Here is a 26,069-nt window from a genome sequence, read left to right on the forward strand (position 1 = left end):
GCCGTGGAGAATGGAGAGTCTTGGACAAATCTTGAAAAGGGGAAGGATGGATCAGAGCTGGCCTTTGAGGAGTGATAGTTGGGTGTCCTAGAGAAAGTTAGTGCAACTCTGTAGGACGCAAGTACAACAGTTTCCATTTTACAAGTGGAGTAACTGAGGCACAGGTATCAGGAAGTTGCTTGACCAAGGCAGCAGCTTCCAGGAGCACTGGGGGAAGATAGGCTGGTGGCAGAAGAGACCACTCAGGGAAGAAGTGTTTCTAGGCAGTTGAAACAGAGTATTGCTGTGGCTGGGCTAGTGTGGGGGTGGGCCGAGTTGGCACCTCCCCAAGGTCTCCTGGGGGGTGAGGGGGGTAGGGTGGAGCTGGTCTGGCAGCAGGACACTGGGGCCTCTGTGTGTGTGCTGCCTCCAGCCAGCATACTTTCCACAGAGTCTGCCCAAGAACATTTCCTCCAGCCTGCTTTGCTTAATTTTTTTTAAAAAAATCTGTTGGTGTTTTTTTCAACTGAAGCAAAAATCCAAATTCTGCCTGACTACTTGGCCCTTACATCATTTGACTGCCAGCTTCTCTGGTTAGCCCCCCATAGTCCAAACCCACGCCTGCTCTTTTTGGTCCTTGATTCCCCTGGGTCCCAACATGCAATGATCTTGGTCCCTTCAAATCTTACCCATATGGAAATCCTGCTTTCAGGGAGCCCTCCTTGACTGCCTCAGCACTTCTCCCCCAAATTCCCTGGCTCTGACTCCATACCAATCCCCTCCTCTAACCCAATCCTTCTCCAGGGGAAGTGCCAGGAGGTTCTTGATGGCACAGCCTAGGCCCACCCCAGGGCTGCTGTTTGAGGTTGTACAGATTATTGATGGCACAAGAACCTCCTCCCAACTAACAGGGACAAGCGGGGCTGAACAAGGGTGGATATTCTGCTTGTGCTGGGCTCACTTATCTGGTAAATCTGATAGTCCCTCTACCCAAATCCAGGGGCCTTTTTGTAATTCACACTAAAGTGTGATACTGGCTACTGAGGCCCCACTAAGCTTTCCCTTTATCTGCTCCAGCTCCCTTGTTTATCACCTCAACAGGGTACTGTCATCTACCAGGTCTAACAAGCCGAAAAAAGGTAAACACCATCTATATTTACTTACTCTCCACTACAGTCAGGTTGTTTCTCTTTCGATAGTCTCTCAGATCCACCACCACTGTCCTGCTCCCACCTTCAGCAACTCCTACGTGGATTCTGCCCCTGTTTGCCTACTCAGCTCCTGGCCACCTAGCCGGCCCCTCCAGTCTGCTACCACTTCACAATCACCTCTCCTTGCTTAACACCTTGCCATGTCTCCTTATTATGGCCCACACTTATTTCTAAAGAGGGGTGCACATGTCCCAGGGGATGCTGGAGACAAATCGAAAGGGAGTGGAAAAATAATATTCATACTCTATTTTAGGGCTTTTTCCTTATCCTTTAGGGATTAATATTTATATGCTTCATAATGTACCTAATATATTTGCTCAGCAGTATATTTATATAATGCATAAATGAATAAGTATATATGTTTTGAGAGTATAGGATCAAGTTTTTCCTGATAGGTGTGCAAACACATAAGATGGTTTGGAGACCATTAAGTGAGACCCAAGGAGGTGCTCTAACATTGAAAGTCCTCCACAGCCTAGTCTTTCTCTGCCTCTCACATCTCACTCTTCTACCACTCTTCTACCTCTTGTCTGTCCCTGACAGTACAGTGACACAGAAGTACTTGCAGTTCCCCTAATTAAGGGAACATTTGTGCCTTTATTCCTTTTTCCTGGATTCCTCCAGTCCTGCCCTCACCCTGGTTGCCTGGTGAAGATGTCCTATTTCAAGCCTCAGTTTAGGTGTTATCTCTCTGAGGTTTTCTCCACCAGCCTGGGAATAGGAAACCCACCATTGTCTTCTGGTCCACCTCACCATTCCAACCATTCCACATTCAGACTTCAGTTTTCCCCAGCATACTTTATTAAAGTAATCTGCTCACTGCTCCCCAACCCAATGCTCTTTTTTAGAGACAGTCTCACTCTGTCACCCAGGCTGGAGTGCAGAGATCATAGCACAGTGCAGCCTCAACTTCCCATGTTCAAGCAATCCTCCTGCCTCAGCCTTCTGAGTAGCTGAGACTATAGGCATGCACCACCACACCCTGCTAATTTTTATTTTTTTTCTAAAGATGGGTTCTCCCTATATTGCCCAGGCTAGTCTTGATCTCCTGGCCTCAAGCAATCCTCCCACTTCAGCCTCATGAAGCTCTGGGATTACAGGTGTGAGTCACTGTGCTGGGCCAGTTTCCTTTTTTATATCCCCCCTTAAATTGTGAACTCTCTGAGGCTAGGGACTATATGCAGTTCACCTTCCTCTTTCTGTTGGACTCAGCACAGTGTAAGTCACACACTCAGCACCAGGAAATGTTTGTTTAAAAAGCAATAAAGCTAATATTATCAACTACTTAATATGTGCCTGGAGCTAATTTTAGCATATGTTTCCATGTATATTAGTTCATTTAATCCTTGAAAGTGAGTTCTGGCCGGGTGTGGTGGCTCATGCCTGTAATCCCAGCACTTTGGGAGGCCGAGGTGGGCAGATCACGAGGTCAGAGATTGAGACCATCCTGGCTAACACGGTGAAACCCCGTCTCTACTAAAAGTACAAAAAATTAGCCGGGTGTGGTGGCATGCGCCTGTAGTCCCAGCTACTTGGGAGGCTGAAGTAGGAGAATCGCTTGAACCTGGGAGGTGGATGTTGCAGTGAGCTGAGATTGTGCCACTGCACTCCAGCCTGGGCAACAGAGCGAGACTCCATGTCAAAAAAAAAAAAAAGAAAGAAAGAAAAAAAGAAAGTGGGTTCTAATTTTATCCCCATTTTGTAGATATGTAAAATGAGACTCCCAGAAATGAAGTAACTTGCCCTGGGTCCCAAACTGGCAGAGCCAGGATTCAGACTCAAGAAGTCTGATCTCAGAGTGCATTGTCTTAATCACTATGCTCTGCTGACAGAATAAGCACAAGAACGAACAAATATATGCACAAATGAATGAAGTGGTGACTTTGGAAGCAGACTTACATAGTGAAATTGGAGATAAAGGCAAGATGAGGCAGATCCAGGTCAAAGATGGCTTCATGGGCTTCAGCATGTGGATTAAACAGGACAGAGGTGACCAAGGTGTGGGCATAGCGAGACACCACCGTGGAGCGCATAGAATAGCTTGTCATTAACAACTGAGAGAGAAGACAGGAGGAGGTGTTTTAGGTAGACTATGTCCTCAGCCTAGATGGGCTAGTCTTTGGGAACCCAAGATTCCTACACAGGCCTCAAAGTATACAGGTGGATAAACTAAGGCCTAGAGAGGGAAAACAACCTCTGTCATCCATTTGGTGGATCTGCCTGATTACTTCAGCAAGCTTTATCAAGTCTCAGAACCCAAGACTCACAGAAGATTAGAGATCAAGGGACCTCTCTGGACAAGCACTTCTCTAACTTTGATGTGCACATGAATCTCCTGGAAAGCTTGTTAAAATGAAGATTCTGATTCAGCAAGACTAGGGTGAAGGCTGAGATTTTATCTTTCTAAAAAGCTCCCATGGAATGATGCTGCTGCTAGTCCACAGATTTCACTTTGAGTAGCAAGGCTTTAGAATATAGCAGAGCATCCGCCATTCATTGAATCCTACTCTGTCCAAGGCACTGTGATAAATACTGATTTTTTTCTTCTTTAGGATCTCAGGTGTAAAGAGTTGCACTTATAAGCACAATCATGCACTGCAAGCATGGTAAGTATCTGGCATCCATGATGAGGGCACACAGCAAGTACAATATCTATCTTCTTCCTCTCCTTTCTTGAGGCAATGGTCCCTCTATCTACCCACACGTGATGCAGAGCTAGTTCCTTCCCAGTGTGGGGCAGTGGGAAATGAGGATGATTTGAGATCAGACGGTTCTGCCACTTCCTAACTGTGTCTTAACCTTGGAACCTCTGTTTTCTCTTCTCTATAATGGGGATAATAATATAGCCCAGCTCACAGAGATGCTGTGAGGACTAAATGAAATAATAATTCTGGGACCCCTGGTGCAGCACCTGACATGTGCTCAGCAAATAGTACCTCTTTTCTCTGGCTCTAGTTTCTCAGTCATAGGACTGAAGAAACACACTGAATAACCTTCCCAAATTTCCCCCAAGAAGCTAATTTTATCACAAATCCCCAAGCTTTTTTCCCTCATCCCAGAACTGACCTTTGTGCTTGATGAAGCGGGGACAGGGGGTCCCTGGTATGTCAGTTCAAGAAGAATGGTCAGCAAAAAGCTGACACAGATGAGGTACCTCCACCCAGACATGATGCCACCTCTGGCCTGGATCTGTTGTTCACATCCAGAAGATCTGAGCCCGATCTCCAAACCCTTGCTCTTTTAAACCTCCAGGTATCCCTTCTCTTGAGAGGGAGGGACCATCCTGAAGGGTGGGGAAGGCTCTGAATGTGGCATTGAGGCTCACACAAGCCAGGATTGTCCAAGAGCTGGGGCTGGCATCTTGCCTGGAGAAGGGCCAGTTCTACGCTTCCTTTTTTCCCCTCATCCAGCTGTAAGATGAATGGAAACTAAACATACCAGAGTGCTGGGTCTGTCTGTTTGCTGTGTTGGCTCAGGGTGGGGTTTTTCTTTCCTATAAACATCCACAGGAGCCCAGTAACTGGGGCCAGAGAAAGGTCACTTAGCACTGATCATCTTAAAAAGGTAGTGGCGATGAGAGAGGGATTGGCAAGGCAAGCCCCCAATACTGGTCTTCCCTGGTATTATTGACTTTAGCCTAGTGCCGGGAGGGACTTACTCAGGATCCTATAACAATTTAGGGGTCCCATAGACATAATAAGACTTACAATCTCTAGAATAGCCAGAGGCCAAGACAGGCTGGGGCAGGACTGAGAAAGAATATAACACAGTGGTTTCAAAATACAGGCTCCAGACCCAGACCACATGGGTTTGAATCTCAGTTCTGCCACTTACTGACTGTATAATACTGAGCAAGTTAATTAACCTCTCTGTAGCCTCAGTTTCTTCATCTATAAAATAAGAATAGTAATAGCACCTACTTCATAAAGTTCTTATGAAGATTAAGTGAGTTTGTACTTTTAGAATGCTTGGCACATGGTAAGTGATCAGTAAATAGCTGCTAGGAGGAGGGCAGGATGAGGCATGACAGAGATCAAAAGTCTGGAAAGCTCCCTGTCCTCTGAGACCTGAGTGGAGGGAGAAGGGAGGAGCTGAGGTGCTCTGGACTCAGGATCTGCAGGTCCTGTGGAGGGTGGGGGTGAGGAATGGGGCTGAGAAAAAGGAAAGTACTTGAAGGTCTGCACAAGGACTATCAGCCTCAGTCAGAATCCTGCCGACCCTGGCCCTCCGGCCTCTACCCATCCACACAGGGAGCATAGACAGCTCCAGTACTTACTCTCAGGGGCAAAATCTCTGATGACATTTTACAAACTGCCCCAGGAACACTCAGATTTGTCCTAGGGCATTTGGCATCCCAACAAAGTCTTCTCATTCTGGCATCTGTGGGTCCCAAAACCTGTCAGTTGCCACCTCGCACAAGTCCGCACCAAGTTTCCTCTCAGGATTTCCTCACGAGGGAGAGTCCTAGCTAGAGAACAGCTCTGCTTATACAGCAACAGAGAAAACTCCCATCGGCTACCCAGTCCTTTTCTCTTAAATATGAATGAGTAGCCAAGGAGCCTCAAGCAAATTAAGGAAGCCTGTAGCATGAAAGCAAAATACTAAAAGAAACAAATAGAACAACTGACCCTAGAGCAATTTGAGGATCTGGGAAACAAAAGAGAACTTCAGGGGAAAAATTGATACTATTCTGAATAAGATTCAAGAAGATATAACATGCATAAAACAAGAACTAGATGCCATAAAACAGGAACAATCAGAGAAAACAGAGATTCCTTAGAAATTAAAAATATGTTACTGAAATAATACATTTTCCAGGACCAGGAAATGAGGAAATCTTCCAGAATGTAGGGCAAAAAAGCCAAGGCAACAGAAAATGTGAGAGAAAATTTAAGAGAGATGGATTAATCTAGCAAATTAGACATTCAAATAATAGGAGTTCTAGATAGAGAAAACAAAACAATGAAGGAAACTTTATTGAAAACATATTAGGCCAGATGTGGTGGCTCACATCTGTAATCCCAGCACTTTGGGGGGTTGAGGCGGGAGGATCGCTTGAGGCCAGGAGTTTGAGATCAGCCTGGCTAACATAGTGAGACCCTGACTCTACAAAAAAAAGTAAAAAGAAATAGCCAGTCGTGATGGCTCTCATCTGTAAATCCCAGCTACTTGGGAAGCAGAGGCGGGAGGATTGCTTGAGCCCAGGAGTTCGAGGTTACAGCGAGCCATGATTGTGCCACTGTACTCCAGCTTGGGAGACAGAGTGAGACCCTGTCTCAAAAAAATAGATATATTAGAAGTTATAATAATTTCCTACACCTGAAGAAGGATCTCCAGACAGGTGCCCAGAACAGTGAATCCAGGAAACAGTGAAGCCAGGAAACAGTGAATCCAATTCAAGCAATAACTGCAGCAGCCTCCTTACTGGTCCTCCTGCTTCAGCCTTCATCATCCCCTTTTCTGCCTCCCACCAGTATATTTTTACAACAACCAGAGGGATCCTTTTGAAACCCAAGTCAGATCCTGTCCCCTTTTTGCTCAAAACTCTCCTGTGGATCCTGCTTGTGGCTTACATGGCCCTATGTGAGAGGGGTCAGTGAGGCAAGCCCTCATTACCCATCTGACCCCATTTCCTATTACTTCCCTTCCTGCCTTCCTCCATCACTCTAGCAACTCTGGCCATTGTGTTCTTCAAAAGTGCCAGGCATGGGGAAAAAATGCCAGGCATGATCCTGTCCCATGGCCTTTGCAATGACTGTTCTTTCTGCTTGGAATGTTTTCTCACCAAGTATCCACTTGACTAGTTCTCTCACCTTATGCTAGTCTTTGCCCACATGCTACCTTTTCAGTGAGTGTTTCCCTGACCAACCTATTTACTTATTTTTTAACTTTTTTGTTATTGATACATAATATTTGTATAAATTTATGGGATACACTGATATTTTGTTACATGCATAGAATGTGTAATAATCAAGTCAGGGTATTTATGGTATCCATTGCCTTGAGTATTTATCATTTCTATGTGTTGGGAAAATTTCAACTTATCTTTTCTAGCTATTTTGAAATATACAACACATTGTTATGACAAGCCTATTTAAAACTGAAATTTTTCTCCATAGCACTTATCACACATTTTAATTTGGATACATTTTACTGATTTATCTTATTATCTTTTCTCTCTCCCTTACTAGAATCAGCTCCATGGGGGCCAAGGATTGCTATCTGTCTTCTTCACTGCCTAGCCTAATCTCCTAGAACAGTACCTGACACGTAGTAGACACTCAAAAAATACTTGTTGAATGAGTGAATACAATAAAAGCATATAATTCAAGGAAAAAAGAAAGGCTTTTAGAAACTCTGTGTGTGTGTGTGTGTGTGTGTGTGTGTGTGTGTAATTATTCAAGAAAGTCTTGGCCAAATACAAAGCAAAATAAAATGTAATATGATTATGAGCAGCTGATAAGAGTATAAGAAAGATTCCATTTGACCTTGATGCTAGAAACATTCTCCTCTGAGAGGCCCAAAGATTGTGACATTGAACTTGAAGAGAAGGAAGCGTATTCCAGGCTCACTGCTTGGCTAGATTTTGAAAAATATTTACATAGCCATGATAATGTGAATGCTGTTTATTGGGTTTCAGGTCATAGAGTCAACCTGGGGAGACAAAGCAGGGAAGATCTGATTGTGGCTGCAGAACAGAATGTAAATGTTAATAACCAGGGCAATGTAAAAGGAAAGATAAAACTGACAATGTGGGACATTGAATGGGCAGGGGGAGGGTTGTAGCCATAATATCCTTGTCTTAAAAAATGGGGAGTCAAATTATCTGTCAAAATGGATGGAATACAAAATAGAGGTCTGAGTATATTTTTTTCAAGTTATAAAATTAACCAAAAACAAAAAAGGAACATCAGTGTTAACCATTGCAGGGGAGTAGAGGGAAAAGTGAGGCACAGTACATAAACAAAATCCTTACTGCCATCTCTGGGAGTCAATAGGATATTGTCTAATTTTTTTTAAAAAAGAAACATTACATACATATTATCTAGAGTTGTAAAGGGAACCAACAGTAGAGCTAAAACTAAAAACTGTTAAAAGTTGGCTTTGAGGGGGTGGGAGGGAGATGGGGAGGGTTGAGGCAGGGGACTATTCATTTTTATCATATGATCTTCTGTACTATTTCATTTGTTGTCATGTACAAGCATGAAATTCATAAAAATCAAATGTTAAAAACTGCATGTTGATCTCAAAACAATGAAATAATTATATTTCCTATGATGCTTATGACAATATCTAAATGGGCATATGGATATCCAGTTAGACGTGCCTCTATAGATGAAAAACATACTGTAATGTGCCTAGCATATGTCTGTGAAGACTGTTGGAAAGGATATTCTGGGACTTAAATCATTGGACAAAGTATAGTGTAGTGGTTAAGTCTTTGGTATTTGATATTCCACTGACTCGGGTTCAAGTCCTCTCTGTGCCACTCATTGGTCGCCTTGCCTTGGGCAAGTTACCCCTCTCACTTTTAATATTGCCATCTGTGAAATGAGGCTAATGTTCACACAGTATAAAAATAAACCCCTTAAGAGCAAGGGCCACCTCTGGAGAGGTGTCTAATACATAGTTGGTGCTCATTTTCTGTTGAATGGCCTAATCATAGCTCACAAGCTTGTGCTGAGGAAGGACTCAATATACAGAGAACAGGGGAGAATGAGGGTTAGTCCAAAAGTGGGTAGCAGGTTTCCTCATCTATGGGAAATTTGTCTTTTGTTTGACAAAATGTCATTTTTGCTGTGGAAAGGTAACCCTTAGGGCTTAGAGTGAAACAAAGTTAACTAAATTGCCCTACATATAAAAGGGGAAAAAATGAGATTTCACCAGCAGCTCAAGAAAGAAGACATAGGCCAGGTACGGTGGCTCATGCCTGTAATCCCAACAATTTGGGAGGCTGAGGCGGGTGAATCGCTTGAGTCCAAGAATTTTGGACCAGCCTGGGCAACATGGTGAAACCCCATCTCTACCAAAAATACAAACAAACAAACAAAACCCCAAAAATTAGTAGGGCGTGTTGGCATGTGCCTGTAGTCCCAGCTACTTCTGGAGGCTGAGGTGGGAGGATCGCTTGAGCCCAGGAGGTGGAGGTTGCAGTGAGCTGGGATCACACCACTGCACTTCAACCAGAGTGACGGAGTGAGACCCTGGGGGAGGTGGGGGGAAGACAGAGAGAGAGAGAGAGAGAGAGAGAGAGAGAGGATATAGAAGCCTGGAAATGGAAAGGAGAGAAGTTGCCAGCATGTTGGGGGACAGAAAGGGTCCAACAGGGGTGGGGCATGGGGCCTAGGAGAAGGAACAATTATTAGGCCTTTCCCAGTGGTGGGAATGGTTATGGAAATCTGAAGAACAAGAAAGTCTGATGTCCAATTTAAAGTTGATTTCTATGCTGAGCTGCATGGTTTAAATGACTAAAGAAATGACAGGCAGCCTTAAAAGGAAACCTTTGCTACCCTCTCCCAAATTTTCCAAAATTCAGAGATACGGATTCTGTATAGTTTAGGAGAAAGTAAATGTGCTAGGATAGGATTGGTGGTGGGGATATTCTGGGCTTTCCATTTGAGCTTCAGGAGTCTGGAGTCTTGGATGCCTGTGGGACTAGACAGTTCCATCTCTACATTCTGCACTAAGCAATCCTTAGCCTGCCTTTCCTTATCTCCAGAACAGAGCTGCCTGATGATAACGGCTTTTCATCTTTCCTCTTAGTTGATATGTAGGATCTATATGGTCTCAGATATTTCTCTACTGATTTATGGGTGCTAGAAATGGGCCTGAGACCCAGTGACCTAGGTTCTTCAGAGTTTATGGGTGAATGCTGAAGATCAAGATTCCAAGAGTTCACAAGGAGAAGGTGGGAGGAAATCTCTCTGGTCAAAGGGTAAAGATTATGAACTAATTTGTCTTTTCTCCCCCGATAAGGCTGCCTCCTATCCTCTGATCCCCAGGTCATAAGATAAGGTTGTTAATGGTATTATGTTATGAAGGTGGTGGAATTGAGAGGGGTCTGGGGAAGTTTGGGTTTGACAATCTTTGGGAATGCCTCTCTGATGGATTTGGACTGAGATTTCTTCTGACTTCCTGAATCCAATAATATCTCCTAACGTTCTGACTCTGTATTCCTTTAAATTACCCCAGGATCCCAAAGACCACAACTGGGACCTAAAACATTGTGAAACTTAAAATGTTGGAGGTTGTAACCGAGCATAGATATACCAGAAGGGTAGTTGTAGCAGAGGGTGTTCCCCATGGGGACAAAATTGCATAACAAAGGCTCCTAGGCAAGAGAAGGCAGGGCATATCTGGTAATAGTGAAGTGTTCTGTTTAGGTGGAATATAGGCAACTATATCTAGTACTCTCAGAAAAACAGCAGGAAAAGGGCTGGAAAAGCAGTCAGGGCTGGATTTTGGGAGAGCCTTGAAATCAAGCTCAGGCGTTTCTTGGGAAAGCATTCCATACCCATTGTCATGTATACCTCACCTGCTATTCATATCTCAACTCACTGCAATCAGGAAACTGTTGCATGGAATAGACTCTGAAATAACAATAGCTTAAATAAGACATACATCTATTTGCCTCACCTAAAAGAAATCCAGAGGTAGGCAGTTCACGTTGGCTTCATGAAATTGTTACGGATCCAGGTTCTTTTTAGTTTACTAATCCAGTATCCTTAGAGTGTGACCCTAGTCCTCATGGCCTTTATTCTGGGAGGCTATGTATCTAGCTAAAAATCAGGTGACTTATTACTAAGGAAGAAGAGGAGGATGAATACTAGGGTAAGCAATTAGCAAGCTATGCCACAAACATGTGCACTGAAACTATTCCTTCCAAGGTCACCAGAGACCACCACTTGATCGTCAAAATCCCCAGACATTTTTTCAGGTCTTACTTTTCTTGATTCTTGGCACCATTCATCACTATTGACCTTGACTCCTCCCTCCTTTTGAAACAATCTCTTCCCTTACTTTTGTGACACTCCTTTCTCCGGTTTTTTTTTTTGTGTTTGTTTGTTTGTTTTTTTTGATGGTGTCTCACTCTATCACCCAGGCTGGAGTGCAGCGGCACAATCTCGGCTCACTGTAACCTCTATCTCCCAGGTTCAAGCGATTCTCCTGCCTCAGCTTCCCGAGTAGCTGAGACTACAGGTGTGGTCCACCACACCCAGCTAAATTTTTGTATTTTTAGTAGAGATGGGGTTTCACCGTGTTGACCAGGCTGGTCCTGAACTCCTGACCTCAGGTGATCTGCCCACCTCAGCCTCCCAAAGTGCTGGGATTACAGGTGTGAGCCACCATGCCCGGCCCTCTCCTGTTTTTCTCTCTGCCTCTTTGGTCACTCCTTATCAGCCTCTTTCATGAGTTTCTTTTCCTCCACCTATACCAAAGATGCTGTTGGACTGCAGGGCTCTTCCGTGGGCCCATGTCTCTTCTAGCACTACGCATTCACCGGGGTGCTGTTACCCTTTCTCAGGAATTCAAGAACTATTTATGTACTGATGACTCCTAGATCTATAACCTCAGCCTAGACCACTTCTCTGAGCTTCAGATATGTATATTCAACTGCCTGTGGTACATTTCCACCTGGACATGCCACAGGTGCCTCAAAAGCAATGTTCAGTTCTTGTCTAACCTGCTCCTCAAACCCGCTCTTCCTTCAGTATTCCTGATCTCAGTGAAAGGGGTTACCATTCACACAATCTCTCAAATCAGATCGCCAAGAGTTCCCTTTGACACTCCCCTCCTCCTTGCCCTTCTCTTCACAATCCAGTTACTCAAGTCCAGTTACTTTTTACTTCTTTACTATCTCCTCGATTCAATCACTTCTCACTATCTGCCACCACTCTAGGCCAAAGCACAATCATTGCTTACCTAGATGACTACAAAAGTCATAAGCACTCTCCCTGTTTCCAAGACAACACCTAATCCACACTCCATATAGCAGCTAGGTGTTCTTTCTAAAACACAAACCTATGCTGTATCCTTGCCTAGAATTCTTTAGTAACTCCTGGGTGCTCTCAGGATCAACACCAAAGTCCTCATCTTGGCATTCTAAACTTGCCAACTTGCCATGATTTGGAAGGGGTGGGGAATTTGAGATGCCAGAAGTAGAAGAAAAGGAGGGGCTATGTCTAGTGTGGATAAGGGAGAAAATCTAGGAGGCAAGAACATGGTGAACTGATATCACACACTTGGAGAAAGCAATAATTCAGAGAAAGAGAAAAGACAGGAAAACAGAAGCCTGCCTTGAATATGCAAGAAATTTGTGTGTTTGTCTATCTTGAATTATCCATGGAACACAGGGATTCATTATATGTTATTTACATAGTAAAAGGTGACCACATAAAGCAGAAGACTTGTGTCCATTTGAATTACATTTATATGTGGAAAGGCACTGAATATTATTTCTGCAACTAACAGTTGTGCTGAATTTTATTATGGTTTCTAATAACTTTTTAGTTGATGCTCTTGGGTTTTCCAGGTCTGCATTTATATATTCAGTAATTAATGATGATTTGTCTATTTCCTATTATTTTACATCTTATTTTGTTCTCTTGAACAGATCCAATTGGTTATGTGAATTTATTATGTGATAGAGGTGCCATTTCAAAGCAGAGAGGGAAAAGATGGATTAGTTTGCACATGATGTAGAGGTAAGAGACTATGATTTTGAAGAGTAATCAAGCTGAATCCGTATAGAAAATAAATTTTGAAATGATCAAACATCTAAATGTAAATAATAAAGCCACAAAAGTGCTTGAAAAAAAAAACGGGGTTTGTTATAGGAGTGTGAAAAGCATCTTTAAGCAAGCAGCAGAATCCAGTTGTGATGAAGGAAAAATGGATATATTTGACTACATAATAATTAAACATTTTTGTTTGGCAAAAATTATCATAAATAACATGAAAAATATTTGTAATATGTGACATGTACAGGAGAGACATTGCTGGCGGGAATGTTATCCATTTACTTTTTAGGAGTAAGTTGACAAATTTTGCATCAAAATGGAAGACTTTTTTGTAGCATTTGAGCTAGCAAAAAATACCATAAATAACAAAAAGTGCACCAAGCAATCTAAATGTACATGTGTACTGGACTGGTTCAATAAATTATGGGACATCTATGCAAGAAAAGATCATGCAGCTGTTTAGAAAAATGTGCACTAACGGAAAGATGTTTTATATATAACTGGAAAAAAACAGGTCGCAGAACAGAAGGTATGTATAGTGTACCATTTGTCGGAGAGAGAACCTGAATAATTAGTATACGAATAGAAAAAAAATCTGGATAGCAAAATGTTAATAGTGGTTATTTCTGGGAGATGAGTGGCCTTTCATTGGTGTGTTATATATTACTGCATTGTTTGAATTTTTACAACAACAACAAAAGAACAACATATTACCTTTGTAATAAGAAAAAATGAAGATATAAAAATAAATTCAATGAATGACTTGCTTTCAGGGGGCGGTTTGAGTTGGAAGAGCTTCAGACTGAGCCTGGTACAGTGGCATAAACATGGGCTTTGGCGTCAGACAGCCCTGAGCGGGGCCCCATTGCCCCACCCCCGAGGAAGGCGAGGGGGGGTGGCAGGGGGCTGCGGAAAGGGGCTGGGCTGGGTTGGGCTGTCTGCAGCTCTAGTCCAGGAGGCTGAGACTTCGAGAGGGACTTAGAGAAGGCAGACGCATCCCGAACTCGCTGGAGGACAAGGTGAGGGGCGTTGATATTGGGGTTTTATGGAGGTCAGACAGTGGTTCCAGACCCCTCGAACCCATAGCCAGGCAGATGAGCAATTCTTACTGCACCACTGCAGCTGAAGCAGAGGTGACCTGGAGTGGGGTGTAGGCAATGAGGACGACTGAGAAAGTAGTAGGCTGTACAGACTGGGAGCAGAGACTAGCGGAGGGAGGAGGGGAGAAAAACGGGGAACCAGGAATGTTGGGAGGGGGACGAGGAATACAAGGAGGGAGGGGAACACTGAGGGGGAGTGAAGATCCAGAGAAGAGAATCGGGGATGCAGAGAGGGATTAAGGAATACTGAGGGGCAGGGTGTGCAAACGTAACACGGAGGAGGATGTAAGAAATGGGAAGAAGGAATTCTGGAGTAAATAGGAAATGTGAGGTAGGAATAGGGAGTAGGGAGCCAGGCTAAGGGAATACGGAGGGGGGCATAAGGAATGAGGAGCAGGGAGCGGGGGAGGGGCAGACAGGCTGGGACGGAGGCCCCCTAGGGAGGCGGAAAGGGGCGGGACCACTTCCGGCCTAGAGAGGGGAGGGCAGTCTCCGAGTTTCGGAGGGGCTTGGAGTGAGTGGACGCACTCGGGAATTGTAGGAGGACGAGGTGAGCAGCCGGGTCGGCTTTTGGATGAGAGCCCCGCTAGGGGTCGGCCCCACCCTCTGGGATCTGGAGAAAACCTGCCTTAAGGACCGGATCGTACCGGATCCATCCGGCTGGGAAGGGAGGGGACTGGACCCGGTTTGGCCGGGCCCAAGATGGAATCACTAGCTCAGTATTTATTTGAGGAGGGGGTGTAATAGGGAAGGGGCGGAACCAAGATGCGCCTGTTTGGAGGGGGGCGTGTTAGGAAGAAGGGCGGGGCCAAGAGACACTGGACTCTGTAGGGCGTGAGTAGGGGAGGGGCCGGGTCCACCAGACACTGCGACAATTTTGGAGGAAGGCTTGTTGGGCAGGGGGCGGGACCGAATGGTACTGCGGACCTGGAGAGGGGCGTGTGTTGGGGCAGAGTGCCAGACTGAGACCACGACCATTGCGCATGCGCACTATGTTTCGCTAGAAAGGGGCGTGTTGAGAAGGGCCAGCACTGAGAAGAGCCAGCTGCTGAATGCGCATGTGCACGGTGGACATCAAAGAAAGGGCTCGTGCTGGGAAAGCGGGCGGGGCTGAGAGCGGCCCTGCAGCCGACGCGCATGCGCTCTATCGACCTGCGGCTGGGTGGGGGGTGCACTGGGAAAAGGGGCGGGGTCCTCAGAGCTGCCGCGCTGGCACATCTTCCTGGAGAAGGGGAGGGTGCGGCTGCAGAGAATTGAGACTTAGAAGCTTTGAATTCCTGTATCTGAGAACGGAGTCGTTGGGGGTGGTGGAGGGGGTTGGAATTGGGGACCTACGGAAGGTGAGGATCAGCCTCCAGGCACAACAGGGGAGAGGACGTTCAGTGGGCTTCAACTTGACCCAGGCCTTCTCCCCTTCAGGCTCAGCTCTTGCCAGGCCAAATTGAGACATGTCTGACACAAGCGAGAGTGGTGCAGGTCTAACTCGCTTCCAGGTAAGGCCTCTTTCTGTCCTTTCCCCAGCTGCTTTTCCTCTCCAGCCCTTGTTGCTGCCCCCAAGTCCCTTGGCTCTTCCCCTCCCATCCTTGTCCTTCTCCACCTACTTTCCTGCCTGGGTGTCCCCCTGCCCAGTGGAGGGAGGGAGAGAAGGTGGGCGGGCCCCTCTTCTGCCATCAGTTCTTGCTCAGAGGAAAGGGAGGCCTTGTTGGGCTGAGGTGGTCAGAGCACACCGCAGGTAGGAGTCAGTACAGGTCAGAGAAGTGTGGCCTTGGAATTTTGGAGCCATTTGCTTAGTTGGGGGTGAGGAGAAGGTCTATGAACTTCCCTGCTTCCTCTTGCAGGCTGAAGCTTCAGAAAAGGACAGTAGCTCGATGATGCAGACTCTGTTGACAGTGACCCAGAATGTGGAGGTCCCAGAGACACCGAAGGCCTCAAAGGCACTGGAGGTCTCAGAGGATGTGAAGGTCTCAAAAGCCTCTGGGGTCTCAAAGGCCACAGAGGTCTCAAAGACCCCAGAGGCTCGGGAGGCACCTGCCACCCAGGCCTCATCTACTACTCAGCTGACTGATACCCAGGTTCTGGCAGCTGAAAACAAGAGTCTAGCAGCTGACACCAAGAAACAGAATGCTGACCCGCAGGCTGTGACAATGCCTGCCACTGAGACCAAAAAGGTCAGCCATGTGGCTGATACAAAGGTCAATACAAAGGCTCAGGAGACTGAGGCTGCACCCTCTCAGGCCCCAGCAGATGAACCTGAGCCTGAGAGTGCAGCTGCCCAGTCTCAGGAGAATCAGGATACTCGGCCCAAGGTCAAAGCCAAGAAAGCCCGAAAGGTAAGACCTCTGCAGTCACCACCCTTGGTTTTCTACTCCTCTCTCAGTTGATTCATTTGTTCTACAAACATTTAGAAAGATCCCTGTGCTCATCAGGGCTGTGGGGGGCACTGAGAGTAATGTGATGTAATTCCTGTCTTCAGAGAGCTTGCAGACTGATGGGGAGGTGCAATCTGAATGTAATGCAGTTTATGTTTACATAGTAGCTGCCCTGTATTAGGCCTTGAGCTAAGCACATTTATGCAGGTTATCTCATTAAATCTTGAAAGTAATTCTCATAGCCCCAATTTTATGGAGAAGGAAGCTGAGTTCCAGAGAGGTGAAGCGGCTTGTCTAGGATGGTTCAAGCAGAGCCAGTAGTGGGCACAGAAAGAGAAGAAGACTCAGCCTCCACCCACCCTTGGTTTGCTCCTGGCCTGCTAGGCAGATGAAACACCTGCTTGGAAGTCAGTGAGAAACAAATCCAGGGTTCAGCATGGCCAACATCTATTGAGTCAGGCTGTTACTACAGGGGTGGGATTAGCGGGTGCTTCCTGGAAGAGATAGGGAGAGGAAAAGGACCACTTGCTTCATCTGGTGACGTTGAGCTTCCTCTCTGTTGATGCAGGTGAAGCATCTGGATGGGGAAGAGGATGGCAGCAGTGATCAGAGTCAGGCTTCTGGAACCACAGGTGGCCGAAGGGTCTCAAAGGCCCTAATGGCCTCAATGGCCCGCAGGGCTTCAAGGGGTCCCATAGCCTTTTGGGCCCGCAGGGCATCAAGGACTCGGTTGGCTGCTTGGGCCCGGAGAGCCTTGCTCTCCCTGAGATCACCTAAAGCCCGTAGGGGCAAGGCTCGCCGTAGAGCTGCCAAGCTCCAGTCATCCCAAGAGCCTGAAGCACCACCACCTCGGGATGTGGCCCTTTTGCAAGGGAGGGTAAGAACTCTGTCGTTTTTATTCTGCCTTTTCTACTGCCTTGGCTGTCCTTTTCTTTGCCATCGTCTCAAGTTTTCTGCAAACTTGTTTTGGTCTTTCCATCTTTTTCTACTCTGCCAGGCAAATGATTTGGTGAAGTACCTTTTGGCTAAAGACCAGACGAAGATTCCCATCAAGCGCTCGGGTAAAGTCCTACCAATCCTCCCTCTGCCCTGAGCTCTGCCCTCCATTGCCCTTACACCATTGTGCTGGGGATATCCCCTGCTCTTATGCTTATGTCTCTGTCCTCCCAAAGTTCTGATTTGGCAGTGCTAGCATCTCTGTTGATAAGCACAGAACCGGGTTATGCCACCCTTGGTGTGGTTGGCAAAGAGTCTATAGCTTGGGCATCAGGGCCACCTGGCATCTCTTCAGTCAGGTGCTCACAACACTCTCCCCTTGCAGACATGCTGAAGGACATCATCAAAGAATACACTGATGTGTACCCCGAAATCATTGAACGAGCAGGCTATTCCTTGGAGAAGGTGAAGGGGCAGCCCTGGGGGATGGGCACAGTGGGGAAGCCTTGAATTGAACAAAAATGTACAAGTCCCTTCTCGGGAACCAAAGAGACCTGCTAATCCAGCTCCATCGCTATGCTGAGGGGCAGACAGTGGCCTAGGGAGGGGTGTAGATTAGCGATGGGTCACACAGCAAGTCAATGGTAAAAGTGCAGCTAGGACCCAAGACACCCAACTTAATCCTGGCTTCTGTCCGTCCATGGCAGCTCCTGCCATGTATTTGAGATTTCACCTCTCCCTTTCATTCCCCATTCTCTGTCTCCCTAGAGTCCCACTCACCACAAAGATGATGATGACAATAGTACATTTGCAGCGTGTTTACCGGGTGCCAGGCACTTAGCTATGTACTTTGTGCGTATTATCTCACTGATTTCTCACACATGCGAAACTCCTAGGTACATAGGGAGCTGCAGCATGCCCCGGAAGCTGAATTTTGTCATCTCACAAGCTGTTCTCCCCATCCACAGGTATTTGGGATTCAATTGAAGGAAATTGATAAGAATGACCACTTGTACATTCTTCTCAGCACCTTAGAGCCCACTGATGCAGGCATACTGGGAACGTAAGCTGGGAAAGGGCTGAGGTGTGGGGGGCTTCTGCTTTGGCCATGTGCTGCTACTCCTCCTTTGTCCTACTTCCCCCATCCTCTTAGAGAGTCAGGAAAGACAGGGTCTCAAAAGCCCCGTCCCAGTTCCTATGCATAGTTGGAGCCCTGCTTACAGTGGTGGCACCTGATTATGATTGACTGGAGGGTGTAGGAGCCTGGAGTGGGACATTCCTGCTGTCAGGTTTGCTGTCTCTGTAGAAGCTTCCCAGGAAAGCAGGCCTGTCGTTGCTTGCCTCTTCCTACTGGGTGCCTGGCCTGGCTTTGGCAGAGTGGTTCTCAAGGAGGGCTTCCTGGTGTGGGTGGATCAGGATGCATGAAGCGCAGGAGTGTCAGTGGGGCTGAAGGTTCTGGGACAGAAAGAAGGGACTCACATTGACTGAGTGCTTGTGTTGTACCAGGTTGGCAGCCATTCTTCCATCTTCTTGGAAACCCAGGGAAGGGAAAATATGATTTTTTCTATTTTACTGAAGAGTAGACTGAGGCTTGCAAGTCTAAGTGCCTTGCCAAGGGTGGCATAGAGCTGGAAGCAGAGACTGGGTAGAATTCTGTATCTGAGGAATCTGGGAGAGGCTAGCCTAGTGAGTTGGCTGGTGTGTCTGTTGCAGATGGCTGCTGAACATAAACCTCTCTGTCCTGTTATTTCTCTAGGACTAAGGACTCACCCAAGCTGGGTCTGCTCATGGTGCTTCTTAGCATCATCTTCATGAATGGAAATCGGTCCAGTGAGGGTGAGTGGCTGGGCTTGCAGCTGAATGGGTGGCTGTGGTCTAGATTCCATGTGTTCAATTTCTGTCCCTGTCTCCTCTTGCCTCCCCTCGCAGCTGTCATCTGGGAGGTGCTGCGCAAGTTGGGGCTGCGCCCTGGGTATGATTGGGCTCTCTCAGCGCTTGCTGTCCGTGTTGTCCTTTGGCAAGAGAGGACGGTCCTAGGATTGCATCAGTCTGGTGGTCTGGTGGAGCGGGTGGGGTGCTGGACTGGGTAGAGGGCCCAGGGTTCTGACCTGGGTGGATGATGGGTGAATGGTCCTGAACTCTCTGCTCCCTCTCTCAGTGTCTCTTGGGCTTCTATGGAGCTTCCCTCTTGTGCTGGAAACCTCTTTTCCATCTTGGAAATGCCTCTGCCCACATCTGGGAAGTGCCATAGCCTTGAGTGAATTTATTTGTTTATTTATTTTTCTTTTTCTTCTCTCAGGATACATCATTCACTCTTTGGGGACGTGAAGAAGCTCATCACTGATGAGTTTGTGAAGCAGAAGTAAGTATCTCTGTCTGGTGTTCATGTGTCCCATGCATTTGGCCTATTTCAGAACTGAGTGATAAAGCCGTGGTGCATGGATGCATGTGTCTATGTGTGTATGTATTTGCATATTTGCATGTATGCAGGTGGGATTATTCCTTGGGCGGTGATGGGAAACAGGAGCAGCACATGTTTCCTGATCTGTTACATATACCTCAACATTTGTCTTGAGACCAGTTCTGCAAGGGAGGGATTATCATTACCATCATTGTACGTATGCAGAAACTGAGGTTTAGAGAGGTGAAGTCATTTGGTCAGGGTTACACAGGTAGCAAGTAGAAGAGTTATGTTTAGAACTTGGCTCCAAAGCCTTAGTTCTTTTTATTCTGCTAACTAGAGCTTCATAGAAATTAATTTCCGTAAAGAAATGACATAGAATGGTAGCTTCAGGCAACCAGGTACCATGCTGGGGAGTTGACTTGTACATCTCATTTCATTTTCATAACTACCCTGCAGCTGTCATCCCATCCCCGTTTTACAGTTGAGGGACCTGGGGCTCCGAGAAGGGAGATCTGAGCATGGCCCACAGCTGGTATGGGCCTGGAGCCCAGTCCTCTTGAATTTCTGGCCAAAGCTCACCTATCCTTGGTCCTTGGAGGACATGCAAACACTCACACAGCCACACGCATGTGCACACAGAAACACACACAAAGGGTCAGGAATTCAGCATGTGTGAAGCATGCTGCTATTGGCTGTTCTTCCTCTGTAGTCTTTCTGGTCATTTTCTGTGGTGGACCTTTCTGGGCTTGGCCAGGCTGAGGCCAAGACACTTGCAGTGGGGTGTGCTCAGAGCAGGGGGCCCAAAGAATGGCTCCTCTGTTTACAACACACCCAACAGGAATCTGGGGTCATTGTGATGAGGGCGTCAAACTTGTGGCTTCCCTATGAACAAACGTCCCCCAACACCTCTATGTGGCTTCTGGGCAAGACCAGTGGGACAGGGCTCAATATTGGAAGAAAGACTGTAGTAATTAGTGGATGATGTTGCCATCTGGAGCCTGTCCAGTCTATGCATGGGTAGGCCATGAATGGTCTTAGAAATAAAGGCTTTGAACCTCTCTTTCCAAGGTACCTGGACTATGCCAGAGTCCCCAATAGCAATCCCCCTGAATATGAGTTCTTCTGGGGCCTGCGCTCTTACTATGAGACCAGCAAGATGAAAGTCCTCAAGTTTGCCTGCAAGGTAATTGGAGAGCTCCTTGAGCTTGGCAAGTCAAGAGCATGGGGTGCCCCTGGCTGGGGCAGGCTGTGTGCAGAGCAGCCTGCAGTTCAAATCTGAATGTTTTGGTGCTTCTGTTAATTGTCAAAACACTGTAACAGGCACTTTATCTGAATCATTTAAGCCTTACAACCTGATATGTCATTGCCCTGTTACAGATGAGAAAACCGAGGCCCAGAAAGGTTGGTAGGTGACATGTCCAAAGTCATGGGGCTAGGAAGTGTCAGAGCAGGGATGGAATATTAGGTGCATAATTACTGGTAATACTGTATTATTACTATTATCTTTTTATACTAAGCATGTAGCATAGTGCCTAGCATAAAGGTAGATGCTTAATCCTCTTATGCTCCTTCTGATGGTTATTTACATAGTAATACTGTATTATTACTATGGCTTAATCCCTCTATGCTCCTTCTGATGGTTATTTTTGTTTCAGGTACAAAAGAAGGATCCCAAGGAATGGGCAGCTCAGTACCGAGAGGCGATGGAAGCGGATTTGAAGGCTGCAGCTGAGGCTGCAGCTGAAGCCAAGGCTAGGGCCGAGATTAGAGCTCGAATGGGCATTGGGCTCGGCTCGGAGAATGCTGCCGGGCCCTGCAACTGGGACGAAGCTGATATCGGACCCTGGGCCAAAGCCCGGATCCAGGCGGGAGCAGAAGCTAAAGCCAAAGCCCAAGAGAGTGGCAGTGCCAGCACTGGTGCCAGTACCAGTACCAATAACAGTGCCAGTGCCAGTGCCAGCACCAGTGGTGGCTTCAGTGCTGGTGCCAGCCTGACCGCCACTCTCACATTTGGGCTCTTCGCTGGCCTTGGTGGAGCTGGTGCCAGCACCAGTGGCAGCTCTGGTGCCTGTGGTTTCTCCTACAAGTGAGATTTTAGGTATCTGCCTTGGTTTCAGTGGGGACATCTGGGGCTTATGGGGCTGGGATGAGGAGCTGGATGATTCTAGGAAGGCCCAAGTTGGAGAATGATGTGGAGAGTGTGCCAAGACACTGCTTTTGGCATTTTATTCCTTTCTGTTTGCTGGATGTCAATTGACCCTTTTATTTTCTCTTACTTGTGTTTTCAGATATTGTTAATCCTGCCAGTCTTTCTCTTCAAGCCAGGGTGCATCCTCAGAAACCTACTCAACACAGCACTCTAGGCAGCCACTATCAATCAATTGAAGTTGACACTCTGCATTAAATCTATTTGCCATTTCTGAGTTTATTGCTTTTTTTGGCGGGCTGTCACATTTTGGTATCACATTTAAAAATCAGTGAGTTGGGAAAGTTTCCACCTCAGTCTGTGTTTAGTTTGAGGTGATATTGTTGGATTCCCAGGAGCGAGATTAACACACCTTTCTGGGATAGATTGGGCCTCACGTCTAATTGTTGGATTCCCAGGAGCGAGATTAACACACCTTTCTGGGATAGATTGGGCATCACGTCTAGCCTTCAGGGTGGTGGGATTTTAGTGGGGTGGAGTTCAAGAGATTGTAGTTACAGAGGACACACTTTGAAGGAGAGGCTTGAGGTCGGCAAGTCTAGAGCAGAAAGTGTAAGTAGAGGAGACTGGACATCAAATATAGAATCCCTTTTTGAGAAATTTGAATGAGGAGAGAGAGGGGTACAGAGCTAAATGGAGATACAGGAACAAGGGAGCATTTTCTTGGGGAAGGAGAGAGAGACTTGAGTAGGGAGGAGTCAACGGAGAGGGAGAAGTTGAATGTTGACTTTTGCAGCCCAGTCCTGGAGGAGGTGAGAGGAGTTGGGTTGTGGGAAGGCCTGGGAGAAGGGACTACTCGGATAGGACTCAGAGAGGGGGACTGTGAGAGGATGTTGAGCAGTAGGGAGGCCCCAGTAGAGGATGGAGCCCATGATTTTTGGGGGAACATAGCAAGGTGCTCAGTAATCTTGGTATAGGAACCATGAAGATGAGTGTTGGTTTATTCCAAGGTTTGGGTTCTGCTGTTTGGATCTGGAATAAGAACACAGGGGCCGGGCGCGGTGGCTCACGCCTGTAATCCCAGCACTTTGGGAGGCCGAGGCGGGTGGATCACGAGGTCAGGAGATCGAGACCATCCTGGCTAACACGGTGAAACCCCGTCTCTACTAAAAATACAAAAAATTAGCTGGGCGTGGTAGCGGGCGCCTGTAGTCCCAGCTACTCGGGAGGCTGAGGCAGGAGAATGGCGTGAACCCGGGAGGCGGAGCTTGCAGTGAGCCGAGATCGCGCCACTGCACTCCAGCCTGGGCGACAGAGCGAGACTCCGTCTCAAAAAAAAAAAAAAAAAAAAAAAAAAAAAAGAACACAGGACCAGGGCAGTGACTGGATGAGTCTGTACCTTCACCACTGTGTCCATGGTACCTGACATGTAGTAGTTGTACACAGAGTGGTGGAAGAAATGGACCATGGGACCCAGGCAGGCTTGGGGAGGGGGGATGAGGAGAGTGTGTGATAGATTTGGGGACAGTGCAGGAGTCTGTGGATGGATATCTGTGTGAGTGATGTGCATCTGACAGTGCAGAAGTCTCAGTGAAGTCCTCATTAGGAGTGCCTGCTATATGTCTGGCAGCATTCCAGGTATCTGGAAAGGGGTATTGAGAGAATAAGAAGTGTGATCTGGGGGACTAGTCAGACAGTGGGATGATTGTATTTAGGAAGTCACAGCACAGAGAGCTCTGGGTGATGGGGAGGTTCAAGGAATGGGTAGTCGAAGGGTAGAGATGCTTCCTGCGGATGTGGAGTCGGTGGTCTGGGAGGCCAGGGTATTGGTTGGGTTATCCACGTGGACAGTGAGATCACCCAGATGGTGGCAGGAGGTGGGAGAGAGGGGAGCATTATGAGCCAGGTGCGAAAGTACCCACATGTGGTGTCCTCTCAGCTACACTGCTCACTAAGGGACAGGGCCCTCAGGCTATTAGAGATCCACCTCCCTGTTTTGGGGGGGTACTGCCCTGGACCACCTTTCTCCCCACGAAGCCCTCGCCATCTCCAATCCCAACATCACTGGGCTTCTAATCACTGGGACGATCTTGTGGACAATGAGGCCCCGGTAATGGCCACCTCTCCTCTCCTGTAGAATCTATAAGCAATAAAGGAAGGATGTTTATTGCTTAGGGAACAGAATTTTAAAAAGAGAAACACAGCTCCATGTGCAGCAAGACAGCTCCTTACCTGTGGCTGTGAATTGAGACCTGCTGAAGTGATCTTCACTAGAAACAGAGGCTCTTCCATTGAAGATTAGGATATGGTCTCCTCAGGGCCTGGGTAGTACCCAGGACAGGTAGACAAAATCACAGGCAGCTTTGGCCTCCTAGGAAGGACTCTCAGTGGGTACTGTGTCTAGGGCCCCCTCAGATTCTCTGGTGATGTCCATCTGAAAATGGAAGGGGTGGGCGATGATGAGGTGGTGAGGAACTCAGGGACTGTGATGCTAAGAAAAATGAGTTCCAAGTGTTTGATAGAGTTAAGTGTGACCCATAGTCATGCAGAACTCTTCTTTCCTCTTGCCTTCCTTCCACAGGACACTGGGCTTGAAGAGCACCCGCCTCTTCCTCCCTTCCCACAAAGCCTAGAATTTGACAGGAGAAGGGGTTGGCTCTTCCTCACTCCTCACTCCCCGCTCCTCAAGTGTCAGACTGAAGGCAGGTGGGACAGGGAAGGAGAGAGCAGGTCTGGTCCCAGGCAAGCAGGGGAGTGTTCGGAGCAGGGGGAAGGAGTGGCAGGGGAAATGAGAACAGACCCTTGTTCATGTTTTTGCCATCTTTATCAGCCTGGAGGCCGTTACTGTGACGAATGAACTCCCACAATTTTCAGTTTTTTCTTCAGTATATTATTAAGTAAATTCCAAATAATTGTAGATTGTATCATGTATCTTCCCCTTGGCTAGTGGTGGCCAGAGCCCCTTTAGCAGCTGCTCCACCCATTTTTTTTTTTATTATCACCCTTTAAGAAGCCTTTTTAGACATTTTTATCCTAATTGTCCTTCCCCATGTAGTTTTATTTACACAGATATACTGTAGATATCTATTTAATAACTATGTATATTTGTGCTTTATACATAAAAAATAAACCTTACTCTTTTTATTCAATACAGGGTTAATAATGAATAAAATATTTAAGTAAAAAGTTAATGTGAAGGTAAATCAATGTTGAACTGGTGCATAACATCCATCCCTTCTACTATGATAATTTTGTTCATTGGCTCATTGAACAAGCACTGGGTGTCTGGAGAAGAGGTTGACAGACTTCCACGGGCTGGGTAATCATGCACCTTTTGGTGAGCACTCACATGGGACACAAATATCCCCACACAACCCATCCTGAGAGATCTGTCCACTTGCTCCTCATATATATGCAGGCAAATCAATTAGAACTGTGCCTTGCACATAATGAGTACTCTTAAGTATTTTATTACATGGTCATTATTGCTATCAATTCTCCAATCTCATTCCTTCCCAGTCTCTATCTGGCAGACACAATCTGTATTGATCAGTGCCCCTGGCCAAGTCGCTTTCTGGACAGAGATCAACCCACATGCATGGCTGTTGAGTTTTGACTCCGAAGAGGATTTCCTTTTTTTACTTCCCGTCAGGGTCACACCTGAGTGCGGCTGTTGCACCACAGCTCAGCCTCCAGCTAGTTCCTGCTTACCATGTGTGTCATTTGCAAACCATGCTCCTGGGCTTTTTTCCTTCTTTGGGAAGCTGGTTGTTGGGAACTCGGTACAAGGCCCTCGGTGTGAGCTGAGGGAGGGCAAGCAATGCGGCAGGAGAAGGTGTTATGGGGAGGGTGAGCCTCCCGTAACTCACTTGTGCCTGCAGGACCTGCTCCGGTCTGATCTCCTGTGACCACTGCCCTTTGGTGATGAAGCATTGTCATTACCTGCCTGACTTTATGGTTTGGTGGATAAGATGGCACAGGCCTAGGGTGAGCAGCTCAGGTGCATGGTCACTTGGGGTCCCGTGGTTAAGTGCTCATACTCTACCAGGAGCCAGTAGTTCAACCTTGTTGAATTAATCGTCAGGTGCCAGGTGCCACTTCTCAAAAGGTGAGTGGTTATTTGATGAAGAGAGCATGGCTTTTGCTCCAAAATGCTAGAAGCTCACGCTATGATTCTCCAGAT

At 46.8% G+C, this 26,069-nt stretch overlaps 2 protein-coding genes and 1 non-coding gene across 5 annotated transcripts in view; 2 read left to right on the forward strand and 1 right to left on the reverse strand.

The window, feature by feature from the left end:
- The window catches only part of ITIH6 (inter-alpha-trypsin inhibitor heavy chain family member 6), a 49,338-nt gene extending 44,935 nt beyond the window's left edge, over positions 1-4,403 (reverse strand). The window contains exons 1-2 of the mRNA NM_198510.3: positions 4,257-4,403; positions 3,090-3,244 (exon numbers count right to left, since the gene is read on the reverse strand). Coding sequence (NP_940912.1) covers positions 3,090-3,244; positions 4,257-4,358 — 257 coding nt within the window. The 5' untranslated portion in view covers positions 4,359-4,403. The remainder of the gene's footprint in view (positions 1-3,089; positions 3,245-4,256) is intronic.
- Positions 13,893-22,163, forward strand: MAGED2 (MAGE family member D2). Of its 3 annotated transcripts, none has more exons than NM_177433.3 (13): positions 13,893-13,950; positions 15,451-15,524; positions 15,870-16,361; positions 16,969-17,277; positions 17,398-17,461; positions 17,722-17,801; positions 18,305-18,399; positions 19,093-19,172; positions 19,266-19,308; positions 19,636-19,698; positions 20,809-20,923; positions 21,396-21,838; positions 22,029-22,163. In NM_177433.3, the coding sequence occupies exons 2-12, from the start codon at positions 15,480-15,482 to the stop codon at positions 21,828-21,830; spliced, it is 1,821 nt and encodes a 606-aa protein (NP_803182.1). In that variant the 5' UTR covers positions 13,893-13,950; positions 15,451-15,479; the 3' UTR covers positions 21,831-21,838; positions 22,029-22,163. The 3 variants fall into 3 exon arrangements, with proteins under 3 accessions (NP_803182.1, NP_055414.2, NP_957516.1); NM_014599.6 differs by lacking the exon at positions 13,893-13,950 and adding an exon at positions 14,494-14,581; NM_201222.3 differs by lacking the exon at positions 13,893-13,950 and adding an exon at positions 15,229-15,371.
- On the forward strand, positions 20,518-20,648 carry SNORA11 (small nucleolar RNA, H/ACA box 11). The gene has a single exon (NR_002953.1). It is a non-coding gene; the product is annotated as a small nucleolar RNA, H/ACA box 11 (small nucleolar RNA).

This window comes from Homo sapiens, chromosome X, assembly GCF_000001405.40.
Source record: "Homo sapiens chromosome X, GRCh38.p14 Primary Assembly".
Classification (NCBI taxonomy): Eukaryota; Metazoa; Chordata; class Mammalia; order Primates; family Hominidae; genus Homo; species Homo sapiens.